This window comes from Homo sapiens, chromosome 1 (assembly GCF_000001405.40).
Source record: "Homo sapiens chromosome 1, GRCh38.p14 Primary Assembly".
NCBI classification, from domain to species: domain Eukaryota; kingdom Metazoa; phylum Chordata; class Mammalia; order Primates; family Hominidae; genus Homo; species Homo sapiens.
In genome coordinates, this window is record NC_000001.11 from 44,404,943 (window position 1) to 44,419,586 (window position 14,644).

The following is a 14,644-nucleotide window of genomic DNA, read 5'->3' on the forward strand; positions in this document are numbered from 1 at the left end:
GAAGAACAACAAGCACGAAACCATTCACTGAGACCTTTGCGGGTGGGGGAGGAGGGATGTAAACAAAAGCCAACGCTCTCTTTAGTTCACAATGGCTCGCGACCCCAAGACTTCCAAGCTCTTTGGTGAGGGCCAGCAGGTCTGTTCTCCAGGAGTGCCCTGGGTCTGGACTTCATTTCCCAGAGTCCCTTAGTGCCCTAATGTATTCAGTGCTCAGAGTGCCTGTATGTGTGTGAGTGTGAGAGAATGTGTGCGTGCGTGTGTGTGTGCGCGCGTGTGTGTGTCTCCGAGTCCCTGGGAGAGTGGAGGCTCATTCACTGATTAGATCCAGCGCTGAGAGGCAGCACTGCTCCTTCTCTCACGCCAACTGAGTCTCTTGATCTGTACATGCAATCCCAGGCAGCTCGCGAACACAAACCCGGGGCCAGCCGCCTACTGCTGCTGCTGCTGCTGCCGCTGCCGCCGCCGCCGCCGCCGCTGCCTCCGCCGGCTCTGCGAACCCGGGACTTTTCATGCACCACACTCTCCGCCTGCTTCCCTCCGTGTCCTGAAAAGTGCGACCGTTCTCCCAAGGAATTTCCACGGCAAGTATGGAGATCAGAAAGGGGTGTGGACGTGTGTGCGTACCCAAGAGGGGTGGGTGCGAGGGCGGCCGGCTTGTTCAGGAACCTGGCTAACTTTCCGGGTCCGTTTCCTAGGGATTCGGGCGGTTCCCTCTGGACGGGGGCAGGGACTGGGACTCGGACTGGCGCGTCTTGGATCATCGCGACGGAGCCTCTCGGCATCGGCGCCCTGCGCGCTCCGTGCGCTGCCTCGCTCAAACTTTCCGTCTTGAGTTTTCCTTAATGTGTTTTATTTGGGGAGGGGGGGAGGTGCAAGGGGGAGGGACCAGACGCGGGAATTGGACAAGTTGGGAGGGTGAGGGCACTGCAAGGGAAGGGAGCAGGACTTCTTTTCTCCGTCTCTTAATAAGCCCCATTCCCACTTTGTTCGGGTCGATATCGAGAATGCCTTCTCGCCGGGCTCTCTGGTGCACCCCCCGGTGATTTCCGGGCTCCCCTATGTACCCCGCGTTGATTTCCGGCGAGGCCAGGGCTGGGTGGTACTCAGTGGGGAGCCCGAGGCGGCGGGCGGATGGAGAAGGGGCGAGCCGAATGAGAAACTACCCCGACAGCCTCCACCCCACACACAGCCGGCTCCGCGGGATACCCGGGGAGTGGCTGTTTAGCCCTGGACCCCGGGTGCTCGGCTGACTTTTTCCTAGCGGGGGCGGGTGTGAAGGGTGTGGAGGGAGGGAGGTGGGGTAGGATGGATGGATCCTCTGCGGGCAGGAAGGAGGCAGGTGCTAGCATAGAGGCGGACCGTTCTAAACGCCACCGGTAAACTCCCCACTCCTCTGGGCTGGACCGGCCTGGCCGTAGAGTAGCCCGACACGTGGGATCTCCCGGGATTTTCGGGGTCGGGACCCCCTCTCCCAGCGGTTCTACTGAGCAAGGCGGGAGGACGATCGTGGAGACGAGGGCTACTTGACTACTCTACTTGTAGTTTTATTTTTATCTTAGACCTGCCTTAAACTGAGTAACAATTTCTCTTCTGACTTAAGAACAAAACTTTTCAGTGAGCACGCCGGTCGCTGCGGTCCTGCGGCCACTGCCGCCGCGCTTGTCAGCCCGGGCCGAGCGACCTTCTCTGCCCGGAACCCAGCCCCGCCACCGCACTCCGGAGCCTCCGGCCTCCCCCACCCCACCCCCGCCCCCCAACCCGGGGCTTTTCAGGGCTCGGCCTGGGCGTTTCGCCTTTGTGCTTTGTAAGAGAAAGCCTTTTCTTCCAGGGCACAACAAACTTGGGCGGAGAGCTTCCGTGTGGCCCCCCGGGCGAGGCCGCCCACGGTGGTGAGGCCATCCGAGGGGATGCCCGGTTCATCCCCCAGTCCAGGAGCCTCTCCGAGAGCTCGCGGCCCAGGTCGACCCCAGCTGGCGAGGGCGCGCAGGAGTCCCGAAGTAGCGGGGACTAGGGCAGCCAGGAGGCAGGGGGAAAGCTCTCGCTTCCCGTTAAGCACACCCTGCATTCTCGGGTCGTGGATGCAGCTCCAGCGGAGAGCCCGTGTTCCGGCCCTGAGCCAGGCGCGCGTCGCACTGGGTGGGTGCATGGGGCCCGGGCCATAGGTGTGGGGGCACAGCCCTACCTGGCCGGCCCGGGTCGTCTGGGGTCTGCGCCGGCCCACTGGCCCGGGAGCCGCCGAGGGGGAGAGCACCGCACTCGCTGCCCACGACGCCCAGCAGCCACATCTTGCCTCTCGCCTCCGCTCCGGACTCGGCTTGAGGGGCAAAGGGGAGAGAAAGGAAAAATAAAGAAAAAAAAGGGCGGCAGTGAGGAAGCAGCGAGGGGACTGGGGGGAGCAGAGTGGGCAGGGGGGCTTTGCCTTGCCTGGCCTCCTCTTTCCGTCTCGCGGGCTCTTCCTGCAAAGGGGAATGAGCAGAGGGGGGAAAGGCAGAAAGAGCGTCGAGGAAGAGCGGTGCTGGCGTCTTCCGTGCCGATCCCTCCTGGCCCGCAGAGACCCGGCAAAAGTGGCGTGAGTTCGCTTGCTGCGCTTCGAGGCAAGGCTGGGGAAGGCCGAGGACGGGGCGGCGCCGCGTCGCGCCGCTGGTGGCCGACAGGGCCGGGGCCGGGCGCGGAGCGAGCGGGGACACACACCTGTTCTGCGAGCCGCGCGGTGTGCGGCGGCCGGACGGCCGCGGTGCGGGCCGCAGAACCCTCCCTCCCGCACTGCGCATCCGCAGTCCAGGAGCTGGAAGGGCCCGGCAGCCCCGCGCCGGTCCGTATTTGCAGGAGAAGCGGGAGTGGAGGAGTCCGCGGCTGCCCGCTGAAGCGGTGGTGCGCGCGGCGGCGGGACCCGGGTGACCCCCGGGGCGGGGCTGCTCGGGGGCTGGAGGTCCTTGGACTTTGGTCGAAGGCTGGCAGCTCTGAGCCCCTGCCCCGCGGGCCCCGCGCGGCTGCGGACCAGGGGCCCTTGCACGTGTCGGTTCTTCCTGGACTGGCGCTTTGGTTGCCCAAAGTTGGGCGCAGATTGTTTCGTGCGGAGGTTGTTGGGACCCAGAGTATTCTATATACAAAGGCAACCGAGAGCCGGAGGGAGAGGTCGGGCCAAAGAGTAGTGGGCTCGGCTCCGCGTTGGGCCCAAGTTTATGTAGGTTTCGCCTTCACCTCTTCTTCCCCCGTTTTCCCTAAAAGAGTTGATTTTTTTTCCCAGTCGAGACTCTTCCGAGCTGAATAATGCACCCGCTCGCTGAGCCAGTATCCCGCGACCCCGCACTCTCGGACTGGCCCGGGCTGTCTCGGATTCGCACCCTTTGGCCAAGCTGGGCCTGAACCCGGGTCCAAATCTGGGACCATACCCGGCCATGCCTGAAACACAGGCGTCGGCCCTAGCCCGGGAACTGTGTTAGCCTTATGTTCCCTGAGCTCTCGCATATGGTGGTAAAATTTCTGTTAGAGCGGTGTTTCCAAATACCCCCTGGGCATTTGGTGTGCGGGAATTCTCTTCAAGCGAAGAAGTCTGTGAACTTAAAAAAAAAATTTTTTTCCTGCGTTCTTAACAACCCCCCACTACTCTGCCTCATTTCCCATTGTTCTTTGCTTTTTAAGTTCCTTGTTAATTTTTTTAAAAGTTTATTTATGCAAAGGAAAAATATCGTTTAATTTGTTCTATTATTTTAATTCCTGGCTTTTGGAAACGGTTCAGAGACCACAAAACTGTCACCTGTTGTAATAAGCAGAGGAGTGTTGTGTGTGCATTTTAATTGCCAGCAGAGCCGTAGTTTGGTGGGCGCCCTGAGCTCGGCTCCGGGAAAGAGCCCTTTGCAGCTTTCTTTGTGGCAGTCATTTGCAAAGGGGTTTGGCTCTCAGCTACGGCGGAGGCAGAGGGGGCAGCAGCACCGCTTCCTTCTATGCCGATCCCGGGCGCAGGTCAGGAAGCCCAGACCTTGGACTGGGATGGGAGATTACCTACTCTCTGAGACTTTCTCTTGGGCTTTCGGTTTTTCTGTGCGAAAGTGGCTAGTTCGCTCCGCAGAGCGCGGAGCGCTGCGCATCAGCCCAGCCTCAGACATTTTCACGTTCCAAACGCGGACGTCTTCGTTTCATTTGTCTTGGTTCTGGCGTGTTTAACCACGCAATTAGTAATCTCACTAATTATTCAGATAGCTGGCGTTTTGCAATCACTTTAAACCAGGGTCAGGAGTGTGATTTAAGAAACAAACAAACTCCCACAGATACGGAACTGAACCAAACCCATCACGTCAAGGATTTGAAATTTTTTAACTCAATATTTGTTGGTCCCTCCGTCCAACCTCACTGCCTGCCAGACAATTTATTTAGCTTCGTGGATTGATCCCTCCTCCTTGTTTAGTTAATTCAACAAAGACTTTTTGCAATCTGTTTGGAGTTTGTCTGATGCCGTGGAAAAGTAGCTGATGATTTATTTGGTTGCTTTTCGATTTCTGTCTTCAGCCCTTCTTTCTCCTCCTTTCAGCGGGGATGTCAGCTGTTATTACTTCCTATTGATCCCTTTGCAAAGTGAGAAGTGAACTAAAATTAATGTCAATTCCACTGCTCGGATCAATAGCTGGAGTTATTTTAATCTGGATTTGCACGAAGTGCTAAATTAAAAAAAATCAGCATAGAGGCAGAAAAGTAACAGTTACTTACTTTCCCTTTGCCGGGTTCTTCACAGTCACCCAAATGCTCCATCAAGCTGATTATCTTACAATCCATATTTTTTTAATTAAGAGGGTCAGTTAGTTTTCTTATTTTGGGTTCTGTGTTTAAACCCATGACATTTTGACATTGGGAGTGTATTAACTATAGATTTTCATAATGACTGTGGTCAGCTGAAGCCTCATCTATACAAGTTGTTAATGTGAGGAGAGGGTAAGAAAGAAAAGGGAAAAGAAAAAAAAGAAAAAAAGCACTCCCCCCTCCCCCATGGAGACCAACGCCCACGCAATGAAGTAAAAGAGATGTGGCCTGGAAAAATATTGTTGATTTATTTTCAGTGTAATGAAGTTTTCAAATGAATAACCAGGGTTGAGTGATTCACCAGGTTCTGTTGGAGTGTCCGGTGCTGTCACCAGATTCCTAATTTATGAAACTCATTTAAGATAATGAGGTGATCTAGGAAGTAAAAATAGCAAGTGAATCCTGGGGGGGGTCGTATTTTGAGGGGGAAACATTCCTCCCTTCACATTTCTTTTCTCCAGTTTTCCTCATATAATATTGCTTGTTGATAGATAAGTAGCTATTTCTGTTGTGAAGAGCTGCTTAGAACCCTTGGAACAGCCCTAGACCCACTTTCAGAGCGTCCATGTTGTATGACCATTAATCTGACTAGAAAACAGCCAAGAACAGGATTCCCAGACTTGTCAGCCTAACTGGCTGTCCTTGGCAGATCATTCCCTGCACTGCTATAACTTGACAGGAAAGTTATTTAAAATTTGGAAGAGAGAAAAATCCGTTAATGTGAGATACATAATCTGGTAATTTAGCAATGATGTCTATAAGGAAAGATGCCAAATGAGGAAGCAGTCTGATGGTGTCCACTCATCTTCCCAATTAATAACAGTCATTGACATGTCTGCTACAGGATGGGAGAAGGAAATACTCTCTTTGCACTGCATTAAGCCAGGAGGATTCATCTACCGTTTAACTGATGTTTCTCTGTTTGAGGGAATACCAAAGATACTCCAGGTGGGCTTTTTAAAAGGGACGAGGTAGATTTTATTTCTGATATGACTCTCAATTTAAAGGTATAATTTGTAGCAGACGGTGATTTTTGGTTATGCTTTGAGTTTCACTAAGTTTCTATTTCGTGTATATTTTTGACACTAATAAGTCTTGGTATTCATCTTATATTGTCCCGGCTTTTGATATATAGCCCTTCTCCCAGCCCCCACTCAAAATACACTTTGGAATGGAACCACTGACTATGAAAATGTACAACCTAAATTTACAAGGGAAACTGAAAGAAGTCTCTCCGAACTCCAATTTGTTCCGGGGGCCTTTATTGGACATCAGCTCTGACTGGGCCAATAAGCAGAGCAAAATAAGTCAGAAATTTTGTTAACATTTTGTTCTAAATGTTAATGGCAAATCCAAGGCAGTTTACAAATCTACTTAAGAGTGAGTGCATTAGTAACTAAAATCACCGATCTGTTCTTTGCTGCCCTTAGAAGACAGATGCTTCTAGAGAGCGTATGCCAAAGGCACCCATTATGGTTTTAAGTGTTGTCAGAGACGCCAGGCATTTTATTGATGAAGGTTTTGTTCCTTCTCAGAAAAGAGAAATAGAAAGCCCATGTGATTAGAGAGAGGTGTGCCTCAAAATAAATGTTAATGCTGTTTGTTCATATAGCACTTTTTTCTGGAAACAGTCTTAGATGATACATGAAGATGTGTGTGTGTGTGTATATGCCAATGTGTATCTTTTATCCATGTGTATACTTTGTACTAACTAATATGTACAAGTGTTCCTGGTCTAGATGAACTTGAATTAGGGATATTTCAGTATCAGGGTGTTGTTAGGGGAGATGAAGAGAGGATGCATATGTGGGGAATCGTATAGGTAGAATGTGGTCTCTGAACATCAGGCCTGCCATGAGTGGTGGATGCAGGTGGAAGCACTTTAAAACATAGACCCCCACTTAATCTACTGGATGGCTTGGCCTTCCAAAGCTCATTTGTTCAGAGAATATCGTATTTGGAGGTTTTATGATATTTTTTTCTTTGCTGGGCTCAGGCGCATTTCACCCAGAACGTGTAGGGACCAAAGTCAGCTACGCGTACATCACAGTAAGTTGTCTATTGATTTTCCTGAATGAAAATGGTCTGATGCTGCTGCCCACTGGCTCCTAAAGCCTGTGGTGTCTCTTGCCCGAGCATCTGTGAGCCAGAAGGATGGTGTTTCGATCACTTGGGGTTTCCCTTTTTTTCCTCCCCCTGACTTTCCTCCCCCTTCTTTTTTTCTCTTTGCTGTTTCTACAGGTCTTAGGAGGGAATGATTCCCCAGTAATATTCCCTGCCCTGACCCAAAGTGCTGGTTGGCCTCCCTCCCAGGGAAGACTGCTTCTTGCGTAACGCCGGCCACAGAAAGAGACTCCGATGGACTTACACCGGGCAGCCTTCAAGATGGAGAACTCATCCTACCTTCCCAACCCTCTGGCATCCCCAGCACTGATGGTCCTGGCATCCACGGCTGAGGCCAGCCGTGATGCTTCCATCCCTTGTCAGCAGCCACGACCCTTTGGTGTACCTGTCTCAGTTGACAAGGACGTGCATATTCCTTTCACCAACGGTTCCTATACCTTTGCCTCTATGTACCATCGGCAAGGTGGGGTGCCAGGCACTTTTGCCAATCGTGATTTCCCCCCTTCTCTACTACACCTCCACCCTCAATTTGCTCCCCCAAATCTAGATTGCACCCCAATCAGTATGCTGAATCATAGTGGTGTGGGGGCTTTCCGGCCCTTTGCCTCCACCGAGGACCGGGAGAGCTATCAGTCAGCCTTTACGCCGGCCAAGCGACTTAAGAACTGCCATGACACAGAGTCTCCCCACTTGCGCTTCTCAGATGCAGATGGCAAGGAATATGACTTTGGGACACAGCTGCCATCTAGCTCCCCCGGTTCACTAAAGGTTGATGACACTGGGAAGAAGATTTTTGCTGTCTCTGGCCTCATTTCTGATCGGGAAGCCTCATCTAGCCCAGAGGATCGGAATGACAGATGTAAGTACTTTGGTTCCAGCCCTCCCTTACCCCCAGTAAGCCCTGCCTCACCGTGATGTTCAACAGGTCGGTGGCGTTTTGCATGCTCCTAGTAATAGGAAGGGCCAACTACTTCCCTTTCACTAGCTGTGGAGTGCTAACCTTTGCTTGTCTCTTATCAGTGAGCACTGATAGTTCTTGAAATATTTTTCTGAAAGTAGCCAGAGGCAAGTTGGCCCCAGCACAGCCTTTCTCTCCGGACCCTAGTGGGCTTATTCTCTGAGGACTTGAGTGAAGAGGGGTGCCACCGACGTACTGAAGTGAATGTCATTTCATTAAGAAGTGTCGGCTCCTAGGGAATTTGGGGGGCCTAAAGAAACATGTCCACCCCTCCTCTCTTTGCTGTCCTCGTTATGTTTGTCTGATCTCAGTGTTATTTTTTAGCTTTTCCATTGTATCACATCCAGCAGACTCCACGTGATTCTATTTTCACAACTCTCAGCCCTTGTCCACATCAGGCTATTTTTCAGAGAAGGACAAAGGTGTCGTCAATCACCATAAAGCATTTCACACAGCTGTGTTTTCCTTGCGATCGCAAGGCTAGAAAGCCGACTTCTCTTGGGATTTCACAGGTTTGCTGGATGCTTATCCTGGGGCTCACTTTTAGGACTAGACACGGTTGACCTGTGTGACTGCTCCAAATTTGATGTTCACAACTATTATTAATTTCTGCTTATGAAACAGCTTTTTTTCATGTTCTCCAAGTGCCTTGTTGGGCTCTGGCTACACTTATAGCTGGAACTAAACCTTTATTTGGAACTTGTAGACTAGGAGTGCTGAACCCTGCAATCTTTTGCTCTAATATAATCAGAAAATAATTGTGTTTTGAAGCTTTTGGGCTGTGGGTAGACAGAGCAGTTTTCTTCAAGCCTGGTGAGAATTTATGAACTGAGGGTGTTTTTTCCACGCAACCCTTTGTTCTCAGATTTGCTTCATTTTATTTTCTTAAGAAAACTACATCTGAGGTTTGCCTTCCACTTTTCTCTATTTTTTCGTGCTCCCATCCTCTCTATAACCACCAACACGAATACCATTTTTTTCCCTCCTCTTTATGATGCCGAGGAGAGTAATAGAGACATTGCAGCTCTCTCCCCTGTCGCCACTGCTTCGTCAGGCTGTCTCCTTGAATTAGGCACTGTGTTAACTTCCCTGCGCTAAAAGGCATCTGCCTAAACCCAGCGTACCTTTTCAATAAAAGTCATCATAAAATCAACCTGCCTTGTAAATCCATCGCTCTTTGGTTTTGAAATATGTTGCAAGTGTGTCTTTTATGTCAGCCTCTGTAAGCCGGAGACCTCCCCACTTAAGGGAGAAGGCTGCTGGCTGACAGCACTACTGCTAGTGTTGCCCTCTCACTTTGGCTTTGGTTCTCTTTCACCTTTTCAGTTTCTGTTGACTTGTGTGTCTTGTGATCCTGCTTCTTGGATATACCTGCTGAACAGGTATCGGCATTGTGTTGGTTCATTTGATTTTATTTTAGTTTTCATTTGTCCAGTGATGTGCAAGTGATCAAGGCTAGTTATAATGTGACCTCCAGCCAAAACTGCCTTGTGTTAGGGTGTGACAGATTCCGCCCCTTTTTTTCTCCAAATACAAGTTGAAAATGAAATCTTCTCTTAGCTAATATGCCACAAAGTAACATCTGGAGATTGAGATCTCTTTCTTCTTACCTAACAGATCCAGCTTGTCTCCATTTTTCTATCTTTTTAGCCCAAACCTGTATCCGACTCCAGAGCAGGAGGAAGCTTGTTAGTCAAGTCAGAACTCATAGACGTGGATATCCATTCCCCTCTGAGTGTCAAAGCCATAACTCTTCTGTTTGCCTGGTTTGCATTGTGTGGTGGTGGCATCCCCCATGGAGATGGATCCCTCACACAGGAGTACGCCTGGGTGGAGAAAAATTAAATGAGTCTGTCTCCCAAAGTGAAATGGAATTCTGACCTTGAAATTAATGAGATTCTGATCAGAAGGGTGGGGAAACTTCTTTATTTCCAATGCGGTGTTATACAAATTGGAGTCCCTTTCCTCTTTTATTCATTTAAAATAGTCTTCCCTTATAGAGTACCCTGTGTTCTCCTTTTTTTTTCTTGTACACAAGCATAAAACCTATAGGAGTGTCTGTGAGGGGAGGGTGTTCGTACACCCTCGTTATTATCCAGAGTTGCATTTGTGACTAATCTTTAATAAAAAACAAAGGTGCAAAGTGAAAAGGAGGCTGTGCTACCCTGTGGTCACCCTGGAGTTGTGCTTTTTACTCCCTTCCTTACCTTAGGTGGTTAGCACATCCCTCACTGGGTCATACTAGATAGCGTTTGTGCTTTTGATTGCGAATTTTTGGAAGGCAGGAGAAGTATTTTTCTGTAAGGAAGGGTTGAAGAGGCACTAAGACAAAGTCTGCAGCAGCTTTCTTGGCTCCTGTCATATGCCGACGTGTGTCGGAATATTTATGGTCTGTTTTATGTAAATACATATTTAAGGGTCGTTAGAAGGCCTGATTATTCCCACTAGATGCCTTTCAGGTCCTCCCTACAGAACCGTTTTGAAATAAGTAATATTTCTCAGATAATCGAGTGACAGTATACAAGACTGCTTCCAAAGGGAGAGAAAGCTTCAGGGGCAGATGGGGGCAGTGACGGGGTATGGGGATATGAAAAGACAGAGGATAGAAAGTGTTCAGACGAGCAGAGTGATAGGATACAGTGCTTTCGCCAGATTGCCCAAATTAACCATATATGGTTGATATACACACACACACACACACACGTGTATATATGTATATATATTTATTCTTAAAATTTAGAGTTAATTGCTGATATGGTTGACTCATTTTTCAGTTCTCTTCATATAAATATCTTTTCATAAAATATTTTTTAAATGTTTTAATTAAGTGCAGCAGTCAAACTCCGAAGTAAGCATTTAGCTTTAGAGTTTTGTTGGTGGGTGGGGGTGGGAGATGAGAATGGTGGTGTGTGTCCTTTACTTAGAGCAGAAGTTTTTATGACTGAGTTTTAGGTCATTAAGAAATCAGTTGTATAATGGAAACACTGACAGTTTTTACTGCTGCAGCCACCCCCTGCTCACACACTACATCAATCTGCAGATATGTCCACTTGTGAGCCCACTGGAAAGAGAGGCCTGCAGACATGGTGTAATGCACACATGTTCTTTCCTTAAATCTGGGTACTGGTAGGCAGGATTTCTTTTGTGGTTAAACATGCATTTTTATAGACAGAAATATAGCGATTTGGGTCAAGCATCATCTTTCCTGATAGATGATTCTGGTTTGCTTGCCTGTCCATCCACCTGGCTTCACAGGTGATTCCTGAGGGAGGTGTTGTGCTCTATGGAAAAACAAGCAGCCTTTACTCTGCAGGACTGACTTACTTGCCCTGGAAAATGGGAGAAGTGTTTTGTGAGAAGCCATTCATGGAGGATGCATAATTCCCCAGGAAGGAGACTGAGGTAACTCCTGCTTATTGTCACTCCTTGAATCAGTCCCCAAGACTCATTGTCCAGGGAAATAATGCTAAAATTTACGGACCAATTACAAGTAGTTCACGTGTGCTTTACATATGAAATGTCTACAGCCATGTTTCCCAGGGCCTTTAAAATAAACATTTCCTCATTAAGGAAACTTCACAACAAAAGGGAAGATAAGTATTGTCTGCTGTCTTGTGTTAGAATCTGTACATTTATTACCCCCTTAGCACTCTGGCTCCTGTCATGTGCATATCCTGATGGTCCTCTTCAGGCTGCCCCTGTGCCCAGATTCCTGCCTGTGTGACACAGTCTTTGGCCAGCCTGCCAGCCTATCCACTCAGCCCAGATTGGAGTTGGCGAAGTATACATGCTCACCACAGGGCTGAGAGGGCCCAGAACTGCCCGCGTGGAGCGGCGACTGGCCCTGTCTTCTGGCTTACCCCAGGGATGGACCCTGGGCACTGACCACACGTGGCTTGGCTTTGCCCTCTTTCCTTGACCTTCACTGTGGTCGGGCAGAGTCACAGGTAGGCAGGAAACCTGATGGCTCACAGCAGCTCCTGGATGTTCTGCTTTGCTCTCATCTTTGATGTACTTGAACAGCCATTCTTGGGTCCCAAAAGCCCTGAGTAGGAGATGGTATTTTGTACTCTGTGTCTTTATATAAAGGCATGTATCATTGAAGACCCTGTGTTCTAACAATCAAATCAGCTGAGCCCACCTAGGCCAAAGGCAGCCTGGAATGGGGAGGGCTGGGGTGAGGGGGGATACTTTCCAAGGGCTCTGGGACTGGGGTGGGCAGGGACTCTACACTGGGCTTTTAGGAGAGTTGTTCTTGCTAGGGAGAATGTTTGGGGCATGCCAGGTGGCCAGGCTGCACCTCTGGGTTGCAGCTGGGACAGATGACCACTGGGAAAGGGTCAGCAAATCGCCAGAAGACCTGGGTCAGATGCTTCCCTCTGTCCTGACTGCCCAGACCTAGCCTGACTCTCCCTCAGCTGCTCCCGGGTTCTCCCCTACTCCCCGGGGGCAAGAACTCCTGTGATGTGTGTGGTTGTTTCTGGTTGTTCACTCCCAACACAGTCATGGAGACTCTTTTTCATGCTGCTGGGTTTAATTGTCTTGTTGGGATAAAGAAATGTTTGCACAGCTAAAGTGGGGCCAGGCTGGACGGGAGCAGTCCCTGATGGCTGCAGAGCCATCTGGCCTGGCTTGGCTTGGCTCGGCGCGCCGCTCGCCTGGCGGCTGGGCTCGCTGTAGTTGTGCTCCCGCTCTTCCCCTGCCCTCGCTCCACGCCGCGCCGCTCTGTGCGGCGGCTGCCTCCTCTTACGGCCGGAATGCCTAATCACCATGGTGAGAAAACGGACACCGCAGCCGTCCTCCCTCCTCGCCCCGCGCCCTCCCTCCCATCAATTGTCATGCAGAAGTGATCCGGGCTGCCGTTTTCTCGCGGCCGCCCGCCAGCCCCTCGCCGCTGCCGGCAGAAGGGTGGCTGGTAATTGATCTTCTGGGGGAGGGGGCGCGGAGAGGCGCGAGAACTGGCCCCGGGGAGGCCAGGCCACGGGGTGGGCCCCGTTCGCTTACTTGCAAGGGACCCCCAGCCTCCGCCACCGAGGCGGCTTGCAAGTGGTTTCAGAAATGTTGGTGATCTCGCCGTCGCTCTGCAGCACTTGGAGGCCGCAGGAGGACTCCGCGCGCCGCCTCGAGGGCCGGGAGCGCCCAGCCCGCGGCCGCACACACGAGGGCCCGTCGCGCCCCCCGCCCTGCCCCGCCTCGCCCTCCACGTCCCTGCACCCCCAAGTCGCACTAAGAACCCAGTCCCCGATCGGTTTCCTCTACGCCGTCTGAGCAGAAGAGAGTGGGAACCGGGGTGACGGATAAGGGGGGGGCGCCCACGCGACGTCGGGGTGCATGGGAGCGCGCGGGAGGCGCTAGTGGGTGCACGGGGCGTGAGGGGGACACAGCGCGGGCGTGGGGATGGCCACTGCGCGGGGAGGGTTCTGCCTGGAGAAGGAGGGATGGGAGGAGGTTGGGGGAGCAGGGCGCGTGGAGGAGGGAGGTTGGACGTGTGTACAGCGCCTGGGGACCTCGCTGGCCCCTTGGTGCCCCCAGGACTCTGAGGCTTCTCCTTTCGGCTTGAAATGTTTTTCCCTTCCTGCTTTTCAAATCTGTAAAAATGTTCCGGGGAATGTTTCCGAAGTCCAGGGCTCCGTCCTTCGGCGGGATTGCTGGCATTCGGGCAAGGCGAGTCGCGGTGGCCTCTGAGGCTCGCAGCCAGCACAGCGGGGCTCGTTAAAGTCTGGGCAATTTCTGGAACTCTTCCCACGGGAAGTTTTCCGGGGCTGCCTTCCGGTCAGCGGCCCCAGGTTGATTATTTGGTGGCCCTTTTTTGTTTGAAAACAAAAAAAAAAACACACACACATTGTATCCAAATAACAAAAGTTGCTGTCCCTCCCCACCCCCTTTCCTCATTAGGCAGGGAAGAGGAAACTGAAAAATAGAATTATATTTTTATATTGGTTTTCTTATTTTTAACCCTTATTAACTACATCCATCTGGTTAATAAATATTGGCACACATTGAAATGTATTCTTTGTAAATAATTGAGATTTGGAGTGACAGCATATTTAATGGAGTTATATTTTTATAATAGTTTTTCTTATTTTTAACTCTTATTAACCACATCCATGTGGTTAATAAATATCGAAGCACACCTTGGGACGTGCTCTTTATAAATACTTGAGATTTGGAGTGATGGTACATTGCATTGTAAAATCCACAGGATTTTTAAACACCAAAATAGCAATATTGTTTGGACTTGCATATTTGCTGCTAAGAGTTTAACAGCATTTCCCAGTGCCATTTTATCCCGTCTTAAAGAGAGATGAACTGCAGACTTAAGGATAATTTATTGCTATATATTAGCTAAAATGCCTTTAAAAATTTTTTTTAAGTATCATTTAAATTGTGGCATGTATGGTTGAACAGAATGTGTTGTTATCCTTTGTAACTTCACATGTGTGCTACAGGGTAGGAATTTGTAAGTATCTCTTTCTTTGCAGCAAGAAGAATTTTCTGCGAAAGAACCTTCTTACACCTTTTCCAAGAAAAGATCCTGGATTGGGACTACATGTTGAGCCTGGAGAAATGATAGGCTGTAGTATGAATCAGAACACCTGGTAGATGCTAAGTAAACAGAAGGAATTTATCATCTTCCAGCCTTACCCAATGGATTGGACTTTTCTGTTATCTTAATCACACTACTTTAGTTTTAGTGTTTAAAAAAATTATTATTTTTTGTCTGGTACCAATCATCTAAAAGGGTTTAGTGTTCATTGCATATTG

The 14,644-nt window shown here is 50.0% G+C and overlaps 1 protein-coding gene across 14 annotated transcripts in view, besides 3 other annotated features; it reads left to right on the forward strand.

Annotated features, from left to right (window-relative positions):
- RNF220 (ring finger protein 220) overlaps positions 1-14,644 on the forward strand; it is a 246,942-nt gene that overhangs the window by 160 nt on the left and 232,138 nt on the right. For 3 of the 14 annotated variants that reach the window (XR_007061417.1, NM_001319956.1, XM_006710735.5), the window contains exons 1-2: positions 218-584; positions 7,039-7,780. Coding sequence is in view for 13 of the 14 variants with exons in the window: in NM_001319956.1 (NP_001306885.1) it covers positions 7,156-7,780 (625 nt within the window). In the remaining variant the exon portion in view is untranslated. Of the gene's footprint in view, positions 1-217; positions 589-1,849; positions 2,140-2,492; positions 2,573-3,207; positions 6,847-7,038; positions 7,781-14,644 lie in introns of those variants that run through there. The other 11 variants (NM_001376486.1, NM_018150.4, XM_011541699.2 and 8 more) reach the window with 8 other exon arrangements.
- Positions 1,206-1,728: an enhancer, noted in NCBI's record as "H3K4me1 hESC enhancer chr1:44871820-44872342 (GRCh37/hg19 assembly coordinates)". NCBI's record gives its function as "activates a minimal SCP1, AML or CMV promoter by ChIP-STARR-seq in naive H9 embryonic stem cells {active_cell/tissue: H9 hESC(naive)}" and the evidence as "EXISTENCE:reporter gene assay evidence [ECO:0000049][PMID:30033119]".
- Positions 3,495-4,171: an enhancer, noted in NCBI's record as "NANOG-H3K4me1 hESC enhancer chr1:44874109-44874785 (GRCh37/hg19 assembly coordinates)". NCBI's record gives its function as "activates a minimal SCP1, AML or CMV promoter by ChIP-STARR-seq in primed H9 embryonic stem cells {active_cell/tissue: H9 hESC(primed)}" and the evidence as "EXISTENCE:reporter gene assay evidence [ECO:0000049][PMID:30033119]".
- Positions 8,901-9,101: a silencer, noted in NCBI's record as "peak196 fragment used in MPRA reporter construct". NCBI's record gives its function as "represses an SCP1 promoter by STARR-seq MPRAs in K562 erythroleukemia cells {active_cell/tissue: K562}" and the evidence as "EXISTENCE:reporter gene assay evidence [ECO:0000049][PMID:32103011]".